Source organism: Homo sapiens, chromosome 15 (genome assembly GCF_000001405.40).
Source record: "Homo sapiens chromosome 15, GRCh38.p14 Primary Assembly".
In the NCBI taxonomy this organism is placed as follows: Eukaryota; Metazoa; Chordata; class Mammalia; order Primates; family Hominidae; genus Homo; species Homo sapiens.
The window spans coordinates 52,445,945-52,468,336 of record NC_000015.10 but is presented as its reverse complement, the minus strand read 5'-3'; the positions used below and the strand labels follow the sequence as shown (position 1 = coordinate 52,468,336).

At 42.1% G+C, this 22,392-nt stretch overlaps 1 protein-coding gene across 11 annotated transcripts in view, besides 3 other annotated features; it reads left to right on the top strand.

Moving 5' to 3' along the window:
• MYO5A (myosin VA) overlaps positions 1–22,392 on the top strand; it is a 221,768-nt gene that overhangs the window by 60,714 nt on the left and 138,662 nt on the right. Inside the window, exon 1 of one of the 11 annotated variants that reach the window (XM_047432545.1) lies at positions 8,363–8,378. The gene's annotated coding sequence lies outside the window, so the exon portion shown is untranslated. 11 annotated transcript variants of the gene reach the window in all.
• Positions 1,819–2,574: an enhancer, noted in NCBI's record as "H3K27ac-H3K4me1 hESC enhancer chr15:52757960-52758715 (GRCh37/hg19 assembly coordinates)". NCBI's record gives its function as "activates a minimal SCP1, AML or CMV promoter by ChIP-STARR-seq in primed H9 embryonic stem cells {active_cell/tissue: H9 hESC(primed)}" and the evidence as "EXISTENCE:reporter gene assay evidence [ECO:0000049][PMID:30033119]".
• Positions 1,885–2,174: an enhancer, noted in NCBI's record as "active region_9430". NCBI's record gives its function as "activates an Ori minimal core promoter by ATAC-STARR-seq in GM12878 lymphoblastoid cells {active_cell/tissue: GM12878}" and the evidence as "EXISTENCE:reporter gene assay evidence [ECO:0000049][PMID:35858748]".
• Positions 7,902–8,797: an enhancer, noted in NCBI's record as "NANOG-H3K27ac hESC enhancer chr15:52751737-52752632 (GRCh37/hg19 assembly coordinates)". NCBI's record gives its function as "activates a minimal SCP1, AML or CMV promoter by ChIP-STARR-seq in primed H9 embryonic stem cells {active_cell/tissue: H9 hESC(primed)}" and the evidence as "EXISTENCE:reporter gene assay evidence [ECO:0000049][PMID:30033119]".

Below are 22,392 nucleotides of genomic sequence, written 5' to 3'. Positions count from 1 at the left end.
TGAGACTGCACATCTTTTTAATTTTTTATTTTTCTGAGACAGGATCTCATTCTGTCACCCAGGCTGGTGTACAGTGGTGTGACCTCGGCTCACTGCAGCCTCTGCCTTCCCAGCTCGGGTGATCCTCCCGAATAGTTGGGACAATTTTGTCTAGAGATGAGGTCTCACTGTATTGCCCAGGCTGGTCTCCAACTCCTAGGCTCAAGCAATCCTCATGCCTCAGCTTCTCAAAGTGCTGGGATTACAGACATGAGCCACTGCACCTGGTCCATCTTTTCTTTGTTTAACTTTTTAAATGGTGCTTCTGTTCGCTACCTGTTTTTTTCTTTTGCCTATTTGCTACTAGGTTGTTTATCTTTTTCTTATTAATTCGCTGATATGTGAGGTTTTGTTTTATGAAGCTTAATCTTGCTGGACATAAAATTATTGGCTGCTAGGTTTTTCTTTTTTCTTTCATCACTTTGAAAATGCCATCCCATTCTCTTCTGGCCTGTGAGAGTTCTGCTGAGAAGTGTGCCATTAGTCTGATGGGGTTTCCTTTATAGGCAACTAAGTGTGCTTTTCTCTTGCCGATTTAAAATTTTTTTCCTTCACTTTGACTTTAGACAGTCTGATGATAATATGCTGTGGTGAAGTTTTTTTTGCAGTTTATTTTCCTGGGGATTGCTGGGCCTCCTGTAGCTGGATGTCTAAATCTCTTTCTTGACTTGGGAAATTTTCATCAATTATTTCCTTAAATAGGTTTTCAGAACTTTTTGCATTTTCTTCCTCCTTGAGAATACCAATAATTCGTAAGCTTGGTTGCCTTATGTAGACCCTAATATCTTGATGTCTTTATTCATTCTTTTTTCCTCACTTTTGTCTGATTATGTTATTTCAAAAGACTTGTCTTCAAGTTTTGAGATTCTTTTTTTCTGCTTAGTCTAGTCTATTTTTGAAGCATTTCAAATGTATTTTGTAATTCCTTCAATAATTTTTCAGACCCAGAATTTCTGTTTGTTTTTGAAATCTGTCTCCTGTAAATTCCTCATGTGCATCCTAAATTGATTTTCTGATTTTCTTTATATTAGTTTGCAGATTTCTCTTGCATCTCATTGAGCTTCTTTAAAATCAATACTTTGAATTATTTATCGACATTTCAAGGATTTTTGTTCTGCTTAGGATCTATTGCCAAATAATTATTTTGTTCCTTTGAGGGCGCCATAATACCTTGCTTTTTCATACTTCCTATATGTTGATTTCTGTGTATCTGAAGATGTGACTATGATGCTGATTGGGTAGGGCCATTTGTCTGCATGAAGTGACAAAGACTTTGTATGATTTCCTTGGATATACATAGCCTTAATGCGGTAGCTTTCTTGAATGCTGGTTGTAGTGGCGTACCAGGCAGTGAGCAGACACACAACCTCCTGTGCAGCTGTGATGTCATGGGTGATAGGGGCAGTAGTTGTGAGAAGCTCTTCTCTTTCTCAAGTGCTGTGCTCTTGTGTTAATTGTTGCAGTGGGCTCTTCAGGCTGTCCCAGAAGGTGGATTGGGCCATGGAACCCCCAGGGGCCTGGATCCTGCACCCTATCTTGGAGTGGGGGGCAAAGCTGGAATGGAGCTAAGTTAGCTAGGCCTGCACTCAGACCACCTACCCTGATGGGAGTGGCTACCTACCCTGATTTAGGCCTCTGGTAAAATACCTGGGTTAGGGCTGACCACTGTTATGCTGATGTCTCAGCCTGGGAAGGGAGGGTGGTTCTAGCTTCACAGCCTTGGCTGGCAGACATGGGACCTGCTTCCCTCTTACACCCCAGTCTTGGCAAGGTTCATGCCCCCATCTCAACTATGTTAGCCAGTCTGGCTGTTCACTTAGTCACTACAGTTTGCTTCTCGTCTGCAGTGCAGTCTTGGGCTATAGGAGTCACTGTGCAGCTCAATACTACACCTCTCTGGCACTTCTCCTCCTCTGGTCCATGGGTGGGGTTGGGGGGAGCCCAGTTTCAGCACCAGCAGCTGGAGCCCATACCACACTCATTTCTCAGTTCTGGCTGTGGGAGCCCCTCCCACAGGTTTCAGTTCCCCAAGCCCCAGCCTGAGTCTCTCTACTGCCAAAGACTGCTGCTGCTGTGGCTAGCTCCCAGGCGTGTGAGGTGCAGCTTGCTAAGTAAGAGCTAGGAAAGAGAATAGGGTCCTGCTGTAGGTGTCCAGTCTGAAGGAATGCCTGGGATACTTCCTCAAGCAGTTCCTTCTCACAGTCTCCTGGCTGCTCCGCATGTTAGATCTAGGGCTTAGAAGGGGCAAGGTACTTTCCTGTGGTCTGGATTGCTCGATTCCCTAGTGGGAAAGTGGACCACAGAGAGATATGTACCCTTTTCCATATTGGGGATTCACTCCTGGTTTTTGGCCGGTCCTGGCCATACGGGCTACCTACCTTCCTTCTTCTCAGATTTTGGAGTTTCTTTTTGCTTTTCTGTTGGACTCATTGCTTTTCATGTCAAACATATTATCATGGATAATATGTTCAAAGTATGATTGTCTACACACTATTTTGGTTCTTCTGAGTTTATGAAGTGTGCTAGAAAAGCCTCTAGTCAGCCATCTTGGGCGAAAAAAATCTCAAGATGTATCTTTTTCTTAATGATTTGTAAGAGTTCTTTTTAAAAGTCTTTTTAAATTTATTCTATTTATTTTCTAGAGACAGGGTCTTGCTCTGTTGCTCAGGCTGGAGTGCAGTGGCATGATCATAGCGCACTATACTTTCGAATTCCTGAATTCAAGCAATCCTCCTGCCCTAGCCTCCCAAGTAGCTGGGACTACAGGCAAAAGTTCTTTATACATTAAGGGACTTTGCTTTTTTACAAATATATTTTTGGTCACCCTGTATTTTGGGTTTGTTTATGATGTATTTTGGCACCCAGAAGTTTTTTATTTTTCTGAAAAATATTTTATACCAACCATTCTTTCAAAATTATAAAACCTAGATCAACTTTCATAGCTGCTTTTCTCGGCTAAAATTAAGCTAAAAGGACACTTAATAAAAGGGGCAAGGATAGGGGATCATGGGAGGAGTTAATAAGAAAGCATCATGCAGCCCAAAGTTTAACACTTCCACTTAAAGATGCAGGCCAACAGGGCTTTTTTGCTTAAGGTGTCTCAGCCAGCAGCAAGATGGCCTACTCATTTGCCCTCTCAAAGCCAGCTCATTATAGAATTCCGTAATAATCTTGCCCTGACCTTACTACCAAGGCTGCTGTTTCCAGGTCAAGAATCTCCCTTCTAGTGCTCATCATTAATGAGGTAATACCAGTGAAATGTCCCTCCTTGCCCCTGCCCTTAGGTAAAGCTGACTCCCAGTGTGGCCAATACAGTCTCTATTTGCCTAATATGGATGACATTTTGGAAGCAATTATGTGTATATTAGATAAATCCTGTCTACAGGCTAAATGTGAGTGACAGTCATATATACATAACTAGGAAAACGACTAATCATAAGCAGGAGTTGTACAAGATGTGCTTTTGTTTATGATTAAAAGACTGCTGATTAGAACTAGGGTGTTGGAAACATCTGGTCATTCATTACTCTGCTTAAAAGCCTGTGATGAATCCCTGTCTCATGCAGTATATAGGCCAAACTGCCTACCATGGCACATGAGGTCTTTCACATCCTGCTCCTAACCTATTTTTTCAGTCAGCTAAACACTATGCTAAGCACTTTCATTTCACACATATTTATTGAGTACCTGCTAGTTACCAAACATTGTTCTAGGTTTCGGTGTTCGTTGTCCCTGCCCTCACAGGCTTTCTGGCTAGTTAGGGACACAAAGAATCCCACATAACCAAAACAATCTATAGAGTAGTCAGGGTGGACTTTTTCTGAGAAAAACGCATATATAAACTGAGACCAGAAGAGTGAGAAGGAACTAGTCCTAAGAAGAGATGGGAAATGAGGGGAAGGTGTTCTAGGCAGTGGGTACAGCAATGGCATTGAACTTGTAGTTTGGGTGTTCTAGGAACAACAGAAGGCTGGCACAGCCAGAGCTCAGGGGAAGGGAGAAGACCCCAGTGAGTTGCTGTTAAACCTGTGGGTAGGGGCCAGATCACATAGTACATCGTAGAGTATAGTAAAGGAATTCAGATGCAGCACAATGAGGTACCTGAATCGGGGTTTGGCCTGGGGTTGGGCTGGCGACAAAACTGTGTAGTGGTTTTAAGCCTTATCTAATTTATCTGCATCACAACTCTCTGAGGCAGGTATTACTAATAACCAGTTTTATGGATGAGAATCCTGAGGAAGAAAGTTGGGTAATTGTTCAAGGTCACACAGTTGGAAAGTATTGGAGCTTCTGGATCTGTCTAACTCCAGAGCCCATGTTCTCAAATGTAATTGTATATACAGTCTAATTGGTTTATTTTGTAAGTAAGGGAATTGAGATTCAGAAAAATTAAAAATAAACTAGAATGATTAAGAGGATGTGAGGCACTGTTTAAAAAATTTATGCTCTTCTTCCATCTGGAAAGATGAAGAATGAACTTTTGATCTGGTGGAAGCTTCTAACACTATGAGGCACCTGAAGAGGGCAATGCTGACTTATTCACTACAAAAATAGCTTAGGCATCTTTTGAAGCTTCAGATAAGTAATTCACAGGTCAAATAAAAGGAAGTGCTTTTGATACAGTTGGTAGCTGATTATTTCAGATACAGATTAACAATGTTTCCAGTAGCTTTTAGGAAATCTGTAGAACAAGTTAGCAAAACAGAAAACCTCTTCTGTATAAAGCATACTAAAATACTGATGAAAATGTCTGTAAGAGAAGTTTAAATAACTAAGAAAATGAGGAAAAAATGAGTACAGGGAAAATGAAATTTTATAATAATAAAAAAAGAAAGCAATTTTAGTTGTAAGTTTTATAATATTTAAACATTTTAGTTTTATATGTCTTAAGAAATACTTAACTCATGGATGACGTTTTTTAATATAACTGAAAAGCCACTATAGAGGGGTAAAGGAAATAATATCCTTTCTTAGTTTTTACAGACAGAATGAAATTCTTATTTCTAGAGAAGTCCATCTTGATGAAGAAAGTGTGGTCAAGTCACTGCCAGGATGCCGGCTTGACATCTGGGGAAAAGGCTGAGGCACAAGTTCTTTTAGAGTCTTTGTTTGCTTATGCTGCATTTTTCTCTCAAAATACCCTCTCAGCGTATACAGTTGGAGTACCTGTCACTCAAGAAAAAATGTCCTTTAGTTCATGAGATTTTTACAACCTAAAATAGACTGACAATCAATTTTGATCTTTCTGTTATGATTCCCATTGTCCTGTCAGTTTCTCTCAGTCATACTGAGAACCCGACCACCCAATTTGGATGATTTTCTCTATCAGTTCAATCATACCACTTAACATCTTAGGGCTGTCAGATTTAAGGGAAGCAAAGTGTACTCTTGATCTCTCTAGATGTTTGGAAATTACTGAATGAGAATTTCATAACCTTTTTTTTTTTTTTCCAAGACGGATTCTCGCTGTCGCCCAGGATGGAGTGCAGTGGCACAATCTTGGCTCACAGCAACCTCCACCTCCAGGGTTCAAGAGATTATCCTGCCTCAGCCTCCAGAGTAGCTGGGACTACAGGTGTGTGCCACCGTGCCCGGCCAATTTTTGTATTTTTAGTAGAGATGGGGTTTCACCATGTTGGCCAGGCTGGTCTGGAACTCTTGACCTCAGGCAATCTGCCCACCTTGGCCTCCGAAAGTGCTGGGATTATAGGCGTGAGCCACTGTGCCTGGCCGATAACCTTAATATCTAATTATTTGTGCTGCTTCGTTCTCTAGTAATTGTCTTATCATGATCAAGGTGCAAGCATGGCCAGCAGCTGGCTTGGGTCTAATGCCACTTCTGTGTTCTTTTCTTCCTTGAGGATTTCTCTCGGTGATCTTTTTGGTACTTAGTATGCATACAGTTGTGCTTTCAAGATATCAGATGAACACTGCAGCCTTGTATTATTCGCCTAACCTGTAGTATATATTTAAAAATATTAATGCCACAAAGTAGAAATTGTGGGTTTTGATCAAACCTTTTTTTTTTTTTTGAGACAGAGTCTCGCTCTGTCGCCCAGGCTGGAGTGCAGTGGCACAATCTCGGCTCACTGCAAGCTCTGCCTCCTGGGTTCACGCCATTCTCCTGCCTCAGCCTCCTGAGTAGCTGGGACTACAGGCGCCTGCCACCATGCCTGGCTAATTTTTTTGTATTTTTTTAGTAGAGACGGGGTTTCAGTGTGTTAGTTGGGATGGTCTCCATCTCCTGACCTCGTGATCCGCCCACCTCGGCCTCCCAAAGTGCTGGGATTACAGGCATGAGCCACTGCGCCTGGCCCAAACTTTTTTTTTTTTGAGATGGAGTCTCGCTGTGTTGCCCAGGCTGGCTAGAGTACAGTGGCGCGATCTCAGCTCACCACAACCTCTGCCTTCCAGGTTCAAGCAATTCTCCTGCCTCAGCCTCCTGAGTAGCTGGGACTACAGGCGCATGCCACCATGTCCGGCTAATTTTTGTATTTGTAGTAGAGACGGGGTTTCACTATGTTGGCCAGGCTGGTCTCAAACTCCTCACCTCGCGATCTGCCCACCTCAGCCTCCCAAAGTGCTGGGATTACAGGCGTGAATGACCACACCTGGCTGATCACACAGTTTTTATGGGGTTTCTGCTGAACAAGTCTACCTAAGCTATGGGGAGAGGAATAGATAGCATATAAGATTTAAATATGAATAAGTTTTACTAACCTAGAGCCCCTTCATGCTTACTCATGTTCTGTTCATCACCTTCAAAATAACTTCCTATTGTGAAATGCTGTTTTGTTTGGGCAAGCTAGCCTGTTTTTAAGTTTGGGTGACTAGGTTTCTGTTTTTCACTCATGCTTATGGTTGATAGCAAATTACAGTATTTTTGTTTTTAATGTTAAGATGATTTATTGTTTATTAATAATTGCAAAAACATCAGGCAATGTTTGCTGTAAAAAATTGCAAAAACAAAAATTAACCACTGCTAAGATTTTAAGTATGCCCTTTAAATGTCATATCATTTTCCTTTTTACAAAACATACCTATTGGCCCGACACAGTGGCTCATACCTATAATCCCAGCACTTTGGGAGGCTGAAGTAGGAGGATCGCTTGAGCCCAGGAGTTGGAGATCATCCTGGGCAACATGTTGACACCTAGTCTCCGCAAAAAATACAAAAATTAAACAGGCATGGTGGCACGTGCCTGTAGTCACAATTACTCAGGAGGCTGAGGCGGGAGGATCGTCTGAGCCTGGGAAGGTTGAGGCTGCAGTGAGCCATGATTGTGCCCCTGCACTCCAGCCTGGGCAACAGCAAGACTCTGTCTCAAAAAACAAACAAAAATACATATTGTTTTCACTTAAAAATATATTGTGAGCACTTTCCTTTGACCACATGTATTCTACTCACATATATTTTATGATCATATATATTTTATGATATTATTTTATTTAAAATTGCACTGAATTTCCTTAGTCGATTTTTTTTATTGTTGGTCCTTTCAGTTGTTTTCTTTTTGTCTTCTTTGTTTTGGGGTGGGGGGAGAAACTATGTCATTAAAGTCTTTATATAGCTTAGATAACTTCTTTAAGCTATAACGCTACAAAAAATTTCTGGAGCCTCGCCCTCGCCCTCGCCCTCGCACGGTCCTCGTCTCCCCTTTGCACAGTCTCCCTCTGATGCCGAGCCGAGGCTGGACTGTACTGCCGCCATCTGGGCTCACTGCAGCCTCCCTGCCTGATTCTCCTGCCTCAGCCTGCCGAGTGCCTGGGATTGCAGGCGCGCGCCGCCACACCTGACTGGTTTTCGTATTTTTTGGTGGAGACGGGGTTTGGCCGTGTTGGCCGGGCTGGTCTCCAGCTCCTGACGGCGAGTGGTCTGCCAGCCTCGGCCTCCCGAGGTGCCGGGATTGTAGACGGAGTCTCGCTCACTCAGTGCTCAATGTTGCCCAGGCTGGAGTGCAGTGGCGTGATCTCGGATCGCTACAACCTCCACCTCCCAGCCGCCTGCCTTGGCCTCCTAAAGTGCCAAGATTGCAGCCTCTGCCCGGCCGCCACCCCGTATAGGAAGTGAGGAGCGTCTCGGCCTGGCCGCCCATCGTCTGGGATGTGAGGAGCCCCTCTGCCTGGCCGCCCAGTCTGGGAAGTGAGGAGCGCCTCTTCCCGGCCGTCATCCCGTCTAGGAGGTGAGGAGCGTCTCTGCCTGGCCGCCCATCATCTGGGATGTGGGGAGCGCCTCTGCCCCGCCGCCCCGTCTGAGATATAAAGAGTGCCTCTGCCCGGCCGCGACCCCGTCTGGGAACTGAGGAGTGTCTCTGCCCCGCCGCCACCCCGTCTGGGAGGTGAGGAGCGTCTCTGACCGGCCGCCCCGTCTGAGAAGTGAGGAGCCCCTCCGCCCGGCAACCGCCCCGTCTGGGAAGTGGGGAACCCCTCTGCCTGGCCGCCACCCCATCTGGGAGATCGGGGGCCCCTCTGCCCGGCCGCCCCGTCTGGGAAGTGAGGAGCCCCTCTGCCCGGCCGCCGCCCCGTCTGGGAGGTGGGGGGCCCCTCTGCCCGGCAGCCCCTTTTGGGAAGTGAGGAGCCCCTCTGCCCGGCAGCCACCCCGTCTGGGAGGTGTACCCAACAGCTCATTGAGAGCGGGCCGTGATGACAATGGCGGTTTTGTCGAATAGAAAAGGGGGAAATGTGGGGAAAAGAAAGGGAGATCAGATTGTTATTGTGTCTGTGTAGAAAGAAGTAGACATAGGAGACTCCATTTTGTTCTGTACTAGGAAAAATTCTTCTGCCTTGGGATGCTGTTAATCTATAACCTTACCGCCAACCCCGTGCTCTCTGAAACATGTGCTGTGTCCACTAAGGGTTAAATGGATTAAGGGCGGTGCAAGATGTGCTTTGTTAAACAGATGCTTGAAGGCAGCATAGTCGTTAAGAGTCATCACCACTCCCTAATCTCAACTACCCAGGGACACAAACACTGTGGAAGGTGGAAGGCGGCAGGGCCCTCTGCCTAGGAAAACCAGAGACCTTTGTTCACATGTTTATCTGCTGACCTTCCCACCACTATTGTCCTATGACCCTGCCAAATCCCCCTCTCTGAGAAACACCCAAGAATGATCAATAAATACTAAAAAAAAAAAAAAAAAAAAAAAAAAATTTCTGGAAAATCCCAGCTACTCAGGAGGCTGAGGCCAGAGAATTGCTTGATCCTGGGAGGCGGAAGTTGCAGTGAGCCAAGATTGCACCATTACACTCCAGCCTGGGCAACAGAGCGAGACCCCTTCTCCCCCTGCCCCCCAAAAAAGAATTTTTACATTTTTAAGGTATTTGAAAAAAAAATTGTCAAGCTTCCTTCCCAGAAATGCTATGAAGATTTATATGCTAAAAACCAGTGCCTGAGATTCCTAATTCCTGTGCCCTTGCCAATATTTTCAAATTTCTAATATTTTAAAATTTGACAGTTGAAAATGGTACCTTTTGAAAAATTAATTTATGAAAGAATGTTATAAAATGAAGTTAGTCTTTTTGTTTTTTGTTTTTATATTTATTTATATTTGTATGTATTTGTGAGGTACCTGTGATATTTTGATACATGCATAGAATGTGTAATGATCAAATATGGTATTTAGAATATCCATCCCCTTGAACATTTATTATTTCTTTTTTATTATTTTTCTTTTTTTTTTGAGACAGAATCTTGCTTTGTGCAGGGCTGGAGTGCAATGGTGCAAACATGGCTCACTGCAGCCTTGACTTCCTGGGCTCAAATGATCCTCTCACCTCAGCCTCTCTAGTGGCGGGGACTACAGGTGCATGCCACCACGCCCAGCTAATATTTGTATTTTTTGTAAAGATGCCACCATGCCAGGCTAATTTTTGTATTTTTTGTAGAGACAGGGTTTCACCATGTCACCAGCCCAGGCTGGTCTTGAACTCCTGACCTCAAGTGATATACTTGCCTCGGCCTTTCAAAGTGCTGGGATTACAGGCATGAGCCACTGTGCCCGGCCACATTTATCATTTCTTTGTGTTAGGAACATTTGGAATCTTCTTCTTCTAGCTGTTTTGAAATACATAATACATTGTCGTTAGCTATAGTCACCCTATTATTGTGCTATTGAACACTAGCAGTTATTTCTTCTAACAGTATGTTTGTACCCATTAACTAACCTCTCTTTATCCCTCTACTGCCACATACACCCTTCTAGCCTCTAGTAATTATAATTTTACTCTTTACCTCCGTGAGATCTACTTTTTTGTAGCTTACATATGAATGAGAATGTGTGATATTTGTTTTTCTGTGCTTGGTTTATTTCACTCAACTTAATGACCTCCAGTTTCATCCATGCTGCTGCAACGACAAGATTTTATTCTTTTTTATGGCCGAATAGTATTCTATTATGTATACATAACACTTTATCAGTTGATCTGTCGGTGGACACTTAGGTTGATTCCATATCGTAGCTATTGTTAATAGTACTGCAATAAACATGAGGGTGCAGATATGCTTTTGACATACTGATTTCCTTTCCCTTGAATAAATACCCAGAAGTGGGATTACTGGATTGTATGGTAGTTCTATTTTTAGACTTTTGAAAAATCTCCATGCTCTTTTCCATAATGACTGTTCTAATTTACATTTCCACCAACAATGTATAAGAATTTCCTTTTCTCCACATCCTCAACAGTCTCTGTTATTTTTTGCCTTTTTGATAAAAGTCATTCTAACGGGAGTGAGATTATATCTCATTGTAGTTTTGATTTGCATTTTCTGATGATTAGTGGTGTTGAGCATTTTGTCATATACCTGTTAGCCATTTATATGCCTTCTTGTGAGAAATGTGTGTTCAGATCCTTTGTCTACTTTTTTTTTTTTTTTTTTTGAGACAGGGTCTCACTCTGTCACTTAGGCTGGTGCAGTCATTGTGCACTGCAGCCTTAACCTCCCTGGGCTCAAGCGCTTCTCCCACCTCAGCCCCCAAGTAGCTGGGACTACACCACACCTGGCTAATTTTTGTATTTTTTGTAGAGATAGGGTTTCGCCATGTTGCCCAGGCAGGTCTTGAACTCCTGAGCTCAAGCAGTCTACCTGCCTCAGCCTCCCAAAGAGTTAGGATTACAGACGTGAGCCACCACACCAAGCCCCTTTGCCTACTTTTTAATGAGATTATTTGTTTTTTGTTTTGTTTTGTTTTGCTGTTGAATTGAGTTCTTTGTATATTCTGGATATTAGTCTCTTGTTGAATGAAAAGTTGGCAAATATTTTCTCCAGTTCTGTGGGTTATCTCTTTACTCTGTTAATCGTTTTCTTTGCTGTGTAGAAGCCTTTTAGTTTAACATAGTCCTGCTTGTCTATTTTTGTTTTTCTTGTAATTTTGAAGTCTTAGCTATAAAATCTTTATCTAGACTGATGTCCTGGAATGTTTGCCCAATGCTTACTTCTACAAGTTTCAGATCTTACATTTAAGCCTTTAATCCATTTTGATGTATATTTTGTGTATGTTGAGAGACTGGGGTCTAGTTTCATTCTTCTGCATATGGTTATCCAGTTTTCCCAGCACCATCTATTGAGGTGACTGTCCTTCCCAATTGTACGTACTTGGTGCTTTTTTCAAAAATGAGTTGGCTGTAAATGTATACATTTATATCTGTATTCTCTATTCTTTTCCCTTGGTCTATGTGTCTGTTTTTATACCAGTACCAGGCATGCTTATTTGGTTACTACAACTTTATAGTATATTTTGAAGTCAGGTAGTGTCATGCCTCCAGCTTTGTTTTTTTTTGCTCAGGATTGCTATGTCTATGTGAGGTCTTTTCTGGTTCCATATAAATTTTAGGATTGTTTTTCTGTTTCTGTGAAGAATATCATTAGTATTTTTGAAATGGATTGCATTGAATCTGTAAATTGCTTTGGGTGATACTGGCATTTTAACAAAATTAAGTCTTTTCATCCACAAGCATGGAATATCTTTCCATGTTTTTGTGTGTCCTCTTTAATTTCTTTCATCAGTGTTTTTATAGTTTTGGTTGTATAGATGTTTTACTTCTTTGGTTAAGTTAATTTCTAGGTATTTTATATTATTTGTAGCAGTTGTGAATGGGGTTAATTTCTTGATTTCTTTTTCAGATTGTTTGCTGTTGGCATATATAAATGTTACTGGTTTTGTATGTTGATTTTGTATCCTGCAATTTTACTAGATTCGTTTATCAGTTCTAACAGTTTTATTTGGTGGCGTTTTTAGGGTTTTCTAAATAATAAGATCATGTCATCTGCGAGCAAGGGTAATTTGACTTCTTCCTTTCCAATTTGGATGTCTTTTCTTTCTCTTATCTGATTGCTCTGGTGAGGACTTCCAATATTATGTTGAATAAAAGTAAAAGTAGACATCCTTTTGTTGATCCGTATGTTAGATGAAAGGCTTTCAAATGGTCCCCATTCAATGATGTTAGCTGTGGGTTTCTCATATGTGGCCTTTATTATTTTGAAGTATAGTCCTTCTGTAACCACTTTGTTGAGGTTTTTTTTTTTTTATCATGAAGGGATGTTGAATTTTATTGAATGCTTTTTTAACATGTATCAAAATGATCATATGGTTTTTGTTCTTCGTTCTGTTAATGTGATGTATTACATTTATTGATTTGTGTATGTTGAACCATCCTTGCATGTCTGGGATGAATCCCACTTGATTATGGTGAATGATCTTTTTAATGTGTTGTTGAATTCAGTTGGGCTAGTATTTTTTTTGAGAATTTTTGCATCTGTATTCATCAGTGATATTAGCCTGTAGTTTTCTTATTTTGTTGTCTCCTTTTCTGATTTTGGTATCAGGTAAAGCTGGGCTTGTAGAATGAGTTCGGAACTATTCCCCACTTTTCAATTTTTTTGAAGAGTTTGAGCAGAATTGGTATTAGTTCTTCCTTAACTGCTTGGTAGAATTCAGCAATTAAGCCATCAGATCCAGGGCTTCTTTTTTGTCGTTGTTGTTATGACTCTGATCTTATTACTTATTACTCATTATTAGTTCAGGTTTTCAATTTTTTCATTATTCAATTATGGTAGGTTGTATGTGTCCAGGAATTATCAATTTATTCTAGGATTTCCAATTTGTTGGCATATAGTACTTTATAATGTCTCTAATGATTCTTTGTATTTCTGTAGTCTCAGTTGTTATGTCTCCTTTCTAATCTCTGATTTTATTTATTTGGGTCTTCTCTCTTTTTATCTTAGCCTTGGTCAAGGTTTGTCAATATTTTCAAACAGTAAACTTTTTGTTTCATTGACCTTCTGTATTTTTTTTTTAGTTTCAATTTCATTTATTTCTGCTCTGGTCTTTATTATTTCTTTTCCTCTACCAATTTTGGATTTGATTTGTTCTTGCTCTTCTAGTTCCTTAACATGCACCATTATTAGATTGTTCATTTGAAGTCTTTTTACTTTTTTGATGTAGGCATTTATTGCTATAAACATCTTTCTTAGTACTGCTTTTGCTGTATCCCATAGATTTTGGTATGTTGTATTACCGTTTTTGTATTTTCAAGGAAATTTTAAATTTCCATCTTAATTTTTTAAATTGACCCTTTGGTCATTCAGGAGCATGTTGTTTAATTTCCATGTATTTGTGAATTTTCCAGGGTTCCACTGTAGTCAGAAAAGATACTTGGTTTCTCCTTTTTTGAATGTGTTGAGATTTGTTTTGTGGCCCAAGTTATGTTCTATTCTGGAGAATATTTCATGTGCTGATGAAAAGAATGTGTACTCTTCTGCAAATGGGTGAAATGTTCTGTAAATGTTAGGCCTGTTTGCCTGTAGTTTAACTCTGATGTTTCCTTGTTGATTTTCTGTCTGGGTGATCTGTCCATTACTGACAGTGAGGTGTTGAAGTCTCTGACTTTTATTTTATTACAGTGTATCCCTCTCTTGGACCTATTAATGTTTGCTATATATACTTGGGTACTTTGGTGTTGGGTGCATAGATATTAATAATTGTTGTATCTTCTTGCTTAATTGATCCCTTTATCATTATATAGTGACCTTCTTTGTTACTTTTTACAGTCTTTGACTTGTAGTCTATTTTATCTGATACAAGTATAGCTACTCCTACTCTTTTTTGGTTTCCACATGCATGCAATATCTCTTTCCATCCCTTCACTTTCAGTCTACGTATGTCTTTATAGGTAAAATGGGTTTCCTAGGGACAACAGATAGTTGACTCTTGTTTCTTTTTTGATTTAGCCACTCTATATCTTTTTTGATTGGAGAATTTTATCCATTTGCATTCAGTGTTATTGATAAGTAAGTACTTTCTACTGTCATTTTGTTGCTTGTTTTCTAGTTATTTTCTTATTCTCTCTTCTCCCTCTCATACTATCCTCCTTTGTGGTTAAGTAGTTTTCTCTAGTAGTATGTTTTAATTTGTTGCATTTTATTTTTACTGTATTTTTCATAAGTTTTTACTTTGTAGTTACCATGAGACTTATAGAAAACATCTTATAGATATAATAAGTTATGTCAAGGAGATGACTATTTATCTTAGATCACAAAGACAAGACAGAAATGCAGAAATATTTTTTTAAAAAAAACCTCTATAATCTAATTCCATTCCCCCTACGTTTTCACTTTTTATTGTCTCAATTTACATATTTAATATAGCTTATCTCTTAACGGGTTCCTGCTGCTATTTCTTTTTGATAGATTTATCTTCCAGACATTATACTAGTTATGAATTGAAAGCACATCACCATTGCAGTTTCAATTATTCTGAGGTTTTTTTGTGTACCTATTTTTACCTGTGAGTTTTATACCTTCACATGTTTTGTTTTTTCACATTAGTGTTTTGCTTTTTTTTTCTTCTTCCACATTGAAGAACTCCCTTTAGTATTTCTTATAAGACAGGTCTGGTGGTGGTGAATTCTCTCAACTTTTGTTTTGTGGGAAGGACTTTATCTCTCCTTCATGTTTGAAGGATAGCTTTGTTGGATATGGTATTCTAAGATGGCAGGGTTTTTTTGTCTTTCAGCACATTGAAAATGTCCTTTCACTCCCTTCTGGCCCATATACTTTCGCTTGAGAGGTCTGTTGCAAAATGCATTGGAACTCCTTTATATGTTATTTGCTTCTTTTCCCTTGCTACTTTTAGGACCCTCTGTTTGTCCTTCACCTTTGAGAATTTGATTATTATATGTCTTGGGGTAGCCTCATTTGGGTCAAATGTATGTGGTATTCTATGACCTTCCTATACCTGGATATTTATATGTTTCTCAAGTTTTGGAAAGTTTTCTCTTACTATTAATATTTCTTTGAATAAGCCTTCTTTCCCTCATTCTTAATCAACTCCCTCTTGAACACCAATAATTCTTAGGTTTAGTCTTTTAGGGTAGTTTTCAATATCTCCTTGGCAGAGCTTCATTCCTTTTTATTCTTTTTTGTTTCTCCTATGGCTATTTTTTTTTTTTTTTTACATGGAGTCTCACTTTGTTGCTCAGGCTGGAGTACAGTGGCGCAATCTTGGCTCACTGCAACTTATGCCTCCCGGGTACAAGTGATTCTTCTGCCTCAGCCTCCTGAGTAGCTGGGATTACAGGAGTGCACCACCATACCTGGCTCTAGTAAATGATCTGAGTGCTGCCCATCCTGAATGAGGATGGTCCCAAAGGGAATATCCTGTCAGTGTGGAAAGGCTGGCTAGGGATTTGGGCACAGGGGAATTATGGAATATACCTCCTACAGTATGATACTGCTGAACTCTGATTTGGAGTCTCCTCTGAGTTTAAGAGCGGAGTTTCCAGGGCCCAGGATGATGGTCCTATATCCTCTCTTTGTTTCTGGCTGTCCTCAGGGGTATTTCACCCTTCAGGCACTCATGATACTTCCTGTGGGTTGAGGCAAAGATAGGTCTTCTGTCAGGTAACCCAAGGTGGCAGGGAAGTTGTACCTTGATCTCACTTTTTCCAGTGTAGAAACTCAGTCAGAGGGAAATTTTCCTTGCACTTGGTGCCAGACAGATTTGGTGGAGCTGCGTCATTGATATAGGAGTCTGATTATCTTACCATCTGCTCAGAGTTTTTTTTAATACTTCTCTGTGGCCCTGGGAACTGTCTCATTCTCATTTTAATTCTGGGATATTGCTGGTGATAATCTTGGCATTATATTTTTGTTTTTGGTTTTCAGTGGGGGGAGGGGGTGGTGAAACCAGCTTGCTTCTGTGCCACCATTTTGGAGAAGAATCTGCCTATATTTACTCAATTCTGACATACACATTGTTTTTTATAGTAGGAATGCATCTTATTGGTAGTCTCTTAGATTTAATGAAATATACATTTATTCAGTAAGTAATTACTGGGCATCTATTATAGATCAGACACTATGTTGGGCTGTGGGCATCAGTTTGAGTAAAACAGACATCTTCCTATCTTCATGGTTTTCATAGTGAAGAAAAAGTACAGGGTTATCTGAGAAAACGTAACAGTGGAGCTTAATTTAGATAGACACGTCAGGGAAGGTCTTTCCAAGTAACGGATATTAAAACTTAAGATGTGAAGGATAAGGAGGAGTCAGTCAGAAAACAAGTGAACTAGGGATTCCAGGCCAAGAAAAAGCAAGAGAGAAAATCTCGAGGCTTGATCTAGCATGGATTGTTTAAGCAGTTAAAGGACAGGTAGTGCAGATGGCCCTTGGTGGGGTGAATAGAGGGGCTAAGCAGTGAGGTAGTAGGGAATGTCATGAGATGGGGTTGGTTCTTCGAACCTTCTGAGGGCAAGTGCCAAATAATGCAGGGCTCATAGGGGTTATGTGAATGTTTTAGCCAAAGTTATTAAAGGATTTTAAGCAAAGATGAAACATCATTTTTCCATTTTTCATCCTGTTTTTCCATTTCAAAAACATCACTCTGGCTGCTGAATAGAGAGTTGGGGGAGGAAAGCTTGATAGAGAACTATTTCTGGCATTAGAGTGAATATTGGCTAGGATTTGGTGGTGGCTGTAGAGATGGAGAGAGGGGGACAAAATTTAGTTAAAATATTGCAGGTAGGACTTAGTGATGGATTTGTTACAGGAGTGAAGGAGAGGGAAGTCCTGAGTATCAGTTTTTTTCCCAGGAGCAACTATCTGCGTAGAGGTGCCTGTCTGAGATGGGAATGCTGCAGGAAGGACATATTTAAAAAGAGGTAGGAGAAGAGTTCTGTTTTGGACTTGTTGAATTTAAGATGTCTATGAGACATCTAAATAGAGATTTTAGGAAGTAATGTGGATCTAGGGGTCTGGAGTTCAGTAGAAAAGTCTAGGTAGAGATAGAAATTTGGGAAAAAATTGGCATTTAAACTCCTGAGAGTGGGTGGGATACAATGTAAACATAAAAATAAGACCCAGGAGGTGAAGGTTGCACTGAGCCATGATCACACCACTGCAATCCAGCCTGGGCAACAGAGTGAGACCCTGTCACAAAAAAAAAAAAAAAAAAAAAACCACAGTAGTGCAATCTAATCATAAGAATAATATTAACATAGGCTAGATGTGGTGACTTACGTCTATAATCCCAGCACTCTGGGAGGCTGAGATGGGAGGATCACTTGAGCCAAGGAGTTCACGACCAGCCTGGGTGACAGTGAGACCTTGTTTCTAAATTTTTTTTTTTTTTTTTTTGAGACAAGTTCTCACTGTCATCCAGGCTGGAGTACAGTGGCACCATCTTGGCTCTTGCAGCCTCCACCTCTTGAGTTCAAGTGGTTCTCCCACCTCAGCCTACCGAGTAGCTGGGACTACAGGCGTGCACCACCATGCCCAACTAATTTTTGTATTTTTTTGGTAGAGACAGGGTTTCACTGTGTTGGCCAGGCTGGTCTCGAACTCCTGACCTCAAGGGATCTGCCCACCTCAGCCTCCTAAAGTGCTGGGATTACAGGCGTGATCCACTGCTCCCAGCCCCATCTCTAATTTTTTTTTTTAAAGAATATTATTAATGAGAATAGGTCACATATCAACTGCCTTCTACGTACTAAGCACTGTTCTGAGTACTTCACATATATAACTGATTTAATCTTCATGATACCCCTATGTGGTAGGTATTATTACCCTCATTGTAGGCAATACATAGGAAAACCACAGGGCTAGTAAACCCAGAAAGTCTTATCCTGAACTATTATTATTATTATTTTTGAGATGGGTCTTGTTATGTTGCCAAGGCTGGTCTCAAACTCCTGAGCTCAAGTGATCCTCCCACCTAAGCCTCTCGAGTACCAGGGTTTACAGGTGTGCACATCACCACGCCCTGCTCTAAAGCCTGAGCCTGAATTCAATTTTTTTTTTGGAGACAGGATCTAGCCCTGTCGCTCAGGCTAGAGTGCAGTGGCAAGATCTTGGCTCACTGCAGCCTTGACCTCCCAGGCTCAAGCAATCCTCCCAACCTCAGCTTTCTAAGTAGCTGGGACTGCAGGCATGTGCTATCACACCTGGCTAATTCTGTTCATTTTTTGTAGAGGTGAGGTCTCACTGTGTTGCCCAGGCTGATCTTGAACTCCTGGACTCAAGCAGTCCTCCTCCTTTGGCTTCCCAAAGTGCTGGGATTACAGGCATGAGCTACTGTGCCTAGCAAGCCTGCATTCTTAACACCACATTAAAAGAGAGAAGAGACTTAGCTTAGAGGTCTGGGCAATTCTAATAGTTACAGATAGGATAGAGAAGGTAGAGCTGGCACAGGAAATGGGAAAGGAATGATTAGAGAGGCAGGAAGGAACCATGCCAGGCCAGAGTGTTCCAGGTAGGCTGCCAGGGTCAGTGGTGAAACACTGCTGAAAGGTGAGCCCTTAAAGAATACATAGGTATTATATGGGTGATGAGGATGGGGGAAAGGGCTTGCTGGGCAATTTGAGTAGAGATAGATATGGAGAAACCAGCTGGTGTTTGCAGTTGTTAAGAGGGTTGAATGCAAGGCCAGGAGAGGTGAGAGATGACACTGGAGAAGTTGACAGGGCCAGATCATGAAAGATTTGTAACATTCTGTATTACAGTCCATTCTCATACTGCTATAAAGAAATACCTGAGGCCGGGCGCAGTGGCTCACGCCTGTAATCCCAGCACTTTGGGAGGCTGAGGTGGGTGGATCACTTGAAGTCAGGAGTTCAAGACCAGCCTGGCCAACATGGTGAAACCCCGTCTCTACTAAAAATACAAAAATTAGCCAGGCGTGGTGGCACGTGCCTGTAATCCAAGGTACTCAGGAGGCTGAGGCAGGAAAATCGCTTGAACCCGGGAGACAGAGTTTGCAGTGAGCCGAGATTGTGCCATTGCACTCCAGCCTGGGCAACAGAGTAAGACTCTGTCTCAAAAAAAAAAAAAAAAAAAAAAAAAAAAAGAAAGACAAGAAAAGAAAAAAAAAAAAGAAATACCTGAGACTGGGTACTTAATAAAGAAAAGAGGTTTGATTGGCTCCCGATTCCACATGCTATATAGGATGTATGGCTGTGGAGGCCTCAGGAAATTTACAATCATGGCAGAAGGTTAAGGGAAGCAGGCACAGCTGGAGCATGAGGACAAGAGAGGGTGGGAGGTGTTGCTACACACTTTTAAACAACCTGATCTTGGTATAATTCGCTATCACAAGAACAGCACTAAAGGAGAAATCCTCCCCCGTGATCCAGTCACCTCCCACCAGGACCCATCTTCGACACTGGGGATCACAATTTGGCATGAGATTTGGGTTGGGACACAGACTCAAACCGTATCATTCTGCCACTGGCGCCTCCCAAATCTTATGTCCTCACATTGCAAAATACAATTCCCAATAGTCCAAAGTCTTAACTTATTCCAGCATTAACTCAAAAATCCAAAATCTCATTTGAGACAAGGCTAGTCCCTTTTGCCTATGAGCCTGTAAAATAAAAAACAAGTTAGTTACTTCCAAGATATAATGGAGGTACAGGCATTGAGTAAATACTCCCTTTCCAAATGGGAGAAATCAGCCAAAAGAAGGGGCCTACAAACCTCATGCAAGTACAAAACCCAGCAGGACAGTCATTAAATCCCAGCAGGACAGTCATTAAATCTTAAAGTTCCAAAAGAATCTCCTTTGGCTCTCTGTCTCACATCCAAGGCACACTGATGCAAGGAGTGGGCCCACAAGGCCTTGGGCAGCTCCACCTCTGTGGCTTTGCAGGGCTCTGCCCCACCCCACAGCTGCTCTCAGGGGCTGGGATTGAGTGCCTTTGGCTTTTCCAGGCACATGGTGTAAGCTGTCACTGTCTACCATTCTGGGGTCTGGAGGACAGTAGCCATCTTCTCACAGCTCCACTAGGCAGTGCCCCAACCCCACATTTCCCTCCTACATTGCCCTACTAGAGGTTCTCCATGAAGGCTCTGCCTCTGCAGCAGGCTTCTGTGTGGACTTCCAGGCTTTTCCGTACATCTTCTTAAATCTAGCCAGATTGATTCTCTTGAACACTTTGCTGCTTAGAAATTTCTTCCACCAGATACTCTAAATCATCTCTCTCAAGTTCAAAGTTCCACAGATCCCTAGAGCAAGGGCACAATGCCATCAGTCTCTTTCCTAAAGCATAGCATGAGTGACCTTTACCCCAGTTCCCAATAAGTTCCTCATTTCCATCTGAGACCCTCTCAGCCTTGCCTTCACTGTGCATATCCCTATCAGCATTTTGGTCATAACCATTCAATAGGTCTCTAGGAAGTTCCAAACTTTCCCTCATCTTCCTGTCTTCTTCTGAGCCCTCCAAACTGTTTGAACCTCTGCCCATTACCCAGGTCTAAAGCCACTTCCACATTTTCAGGTATCTTTATAGCAATGCCCCACACCTCATTACCAGTTTTCTGTATTAGTTTGTTCTTGCATTGCTATAAAGAAATACCTGGGACTGGGAATTTATAAGGAAAAGAGGTTTAATTGGCTCATGGTTCTGCAGGATGTACAGAAACCATGGCTGGGGAGGCCTCAGGAAGCTTCCACTCATGGTGGAAGGCAAAAGGGGAGTGGGCACATCACATGGCAAGGATTGGGGAGAGAGAAAGCAAGAGAGAGAGCGAGAGTGTGAGTGAGTGATAACGATCTTGCGAGAACTCACTATCACGAAGACAGCACCAAGCCATGAGGGAGCCGCCCCCATGATCCAAACACCTTCCACCAGGCCCTACCTCCAGCATTAGGGATTATAATTTAAGATAAGATTGGGTGAGGACCAATATCCAAACCATATCATTCCTCCACTGACCCCTTCCAAATCTCATGTCCTTCTCACATTGCAAAATACAATCACACCTTCCCGACAGTCCCCCAAAGCCTTGACTCATTCTACTATTAACTCAGAAGTCCAAATCCAAAGTCTTATCTGAGACTTTTCTCCTTCCACCTCTGAGCCCATAAAATCAAAACAAGTTGACTACTGCCAAGATACCGTGGGGTATGGACATTTCTCCCATTCCAAAAGGGAGAAATTGGCCAAAAGAAAGGGGCTACAGACAAGTTTGAAACCTAGCAGGGCAATCATTAAATCTTAAAGATCCAAGATAATCCTGTTTGACTACACGTCCCATCCAGGGCACACTGATAGAAAGAGTGGGTTCCCAAGGCCTTGGGCAGCTCTTTGTCTGTGGCTTTGTAGGGTTCAGCCCCTAGGGCTGTTCTTATGGGTTGGAGTTGAATGCCTGTGGCTTTTCTAGGCTGAAGGTGCAAGGTGCCAGTGGATTTACGATTCTGGGATCTGGAGGATGGTGGCCCCCTTCTCACAGCTCCACTAGGCAATGCCCCCTTGCAACTCTGTATAGGGCCTCCAACCCCACATTTTCCTTTGGCACTGCCCTAGTAGAGGTTCTCTATGAGGGCTTTGCCCCTGCAGGAGGCTTTTGCCTCGGCACCCAGGCTTTCTCATACATCCTCTGAAATCTAAGTGGAGGCTGCCAAACGTTCTTCACTTTTTATTCTGTACACCTACAGGCTTAACACCACATGGAATCTGCTAAGCTTTATGGCTTGCATTCTTCAAAGTGGCAGCTTGAGCTGTACCCCGGCTTTTTTGACCCTTGGCTGGAGCTGGAGCTGGAGCAGCCAGCACGCAGGAAGCAGAGCTCTGAGGCTGTGCAGGGTAGTGGGGCCCTAGGCCTGGCCCTCTACACCATAATGTCCTCCTAGGCCTCTGGGCCTGTGGTGGGAGGGGCTGCTGGGAAGGTCTCCGAAATGCCTTCCAGGCCTTTTCCCCATTGACTTGGCTGTTAGCACTTGTCTCTCTTTTAGTTATGCAAATTTCTCTAGCAAATGGTTGCTGCTCCACAGCCTGCTTGGATTTCTCTCTTGCAAAAGCTATCTCTGCCACATGGCCAGCCTGCAAATTTTCCAAACTTTTATGCTCTGCTTCCTGCTT